This window comes from Homo sapiens, chromosome 10 (genome assembly GCF_000001405.40).
Source record: "Homo sapiens chromosome 10, GRCh38.p14 Primary Assembly".
Taxonomy (NCBI): Eukaryota; Metazoa; Chordata; class Mammalia; order Primates; family Hominidae; genus Homo; species Homo sapiens.
Window position 1 is genome coordinate 4,933,865 of NC_000010.11, and position 2,066 is coordinate 4,935,930.

Consider the following 2,066-nt stretch of genomic DNA (forward strand, 5'->3'; position numbering starts at 1 on the left):
CCCGCGTTCTTTATTTCCACCAACCTCAATATGTGAAGAGCTCATATTACAACTGTCAGTGATTCCAAATGAAGCTGGAATTGATCTATTGCCTTTTTTTCAATTGCTTCCTATCTGTGCAGGTGTATCTTACAGGAACATACAGAAATGGTATGCTGAGAGAGGAGTTTGAATGATCTTCTAGGCATTGTTCACTCTTGACACTTAAGTTGAAGTATTAAATATTCCAACCTGTCTTTGATAAGGATATAGGACTTACTTTAGAAGATACAACCTGATTATTAAATTGGTCATTTCTAGACATTGATTCTACAAGAAGACCTCAGTTAAGTCTCACACCATCCATTTTATCACAAATCGCATCACAAACAGCGTATTGAGAATTCCCTGAACAAAGCTAGATGCCTGGTCCCAGGCACACATGTAATGAGATTCCTTGGAAGCACCCATTTCTACCTTCATTATAATGAAATTCTCCTGTATCAAGGCCTCATTTCATTTTGTGACTGTCTTTGCCTTTTCTTTGAATCTTCTTGGCACAAAAAGCCTGGTCTGAGATCATGAGTACATCTCTGTGTTCTTGCTTTTTTCCAGCTATTTCCTCTTTCTAGGACAGCCTGCTTGGTTTGCACCTTGTTTCCAGCGGGTTTCTGATGTCTTACTTATCCTAAATACACCCGATCCAGCCACACGTTTCAGGAGTCCTTTTATGACCCCCTGGATAATGTTGGCCACCCTTTCCTGTGTGCCCTTCATTTTTATTGCTTCTACTATGCAAGTCAAAGAACAACATTAGCAAAAGTTCATTCTCAAGTAATAAGGATCTTTGGCTGGATAAAATCACTAAGTGGTGTTTTGTTATCGTTATGCTGTGCTTTGCCCAACCTGTGTTTGGCCAAACATTGATAAGATGAATTGCCTTGTTGAAAATGCCCACATGGAGAGGAACTGAGTGTGGCTTACGGCCATCAGCCAGCTAGAAACTGAGGCCTTCACTCTAGTAACCCAGAAGGCACTCGATCCTGCCAGTCACCCATGACCTTAGAAGCAGCTTATTCCCCATCGAGCCTTCAGGGAGACCCTGCTTTTGGATTATGCCTTCATTGCAGCCCATTGAGGATCCAAACAGAGGCACCAGCTGAGTTCTGCTTGGCTACACAAAAATCGCTACAACCTTTGCAGCTTGAAGCCAACACAAGGGGAGACTGCAAATGGCAATTATAATACAGCATGGAACCCAAGGAGACAGAAGGCCACATGCAATCCTGGAAGATGGGGTAGAAGGAGTGTCAGAAAAGGTTTTGCAATGGCATCTGAGTGGAGTATTCAAGAATTATATGAAAGTGTATTTCGTTCAATAATAAATATTCTATAGGCACTAGAAACAAGCAGAAAAAAAATCTAAGCCCTCATGGGTCTCACTTTCCAGGAGAGAGAATCAGACAAGAAACTAATAAATACATAGAATGAAGATCATGTCACATGATGAGAAGTACCGTGAAGGGGAAGAAAGCAAGGACAGGGGTAGAGTACAAACGGAGTGAGGGACAAATGAAATTATGAATAGCATAAGCCGGGAATCTTCACTGAGACAGAGACAATTGAGAAAAGACCTGAAAGAGTAGAGGAAGCAAGCCTTGCTGACAGCTGAGGGAAGAGGGCTTCAGGCAGAGGGATCCTGAAGGGCACACTCCCTGCAGCAAGGGCAGGCCAGGCTTGTTCTGGGAACAGCAGGATTAGGAGAAAGGTCAGAAAGGAACGGAGGGCCACGTTTATACAGAGCCCTGTAGGCCATTTGCAAGGATTTGGCTTTTACTCTAGGACAGATGAGGAGACACTGGATGATACTGAGCTGCTGTGGAGAGAGTAAAATATAAGTTGATGAAAAATAAATATGGAAAACTGGTTAGGAGGCTATTTGAATAACCAAGGCAAGGAATGGCATGACTTGGAACAAGATAGTTGAAGAACAGCTGATGAGAAATGGTCAGATTCTGGATATATTTTTAAGGTGGACATGGCAGGGCTTGATCACAGATTTTATATTGGAGAGGAAAGTATTATTT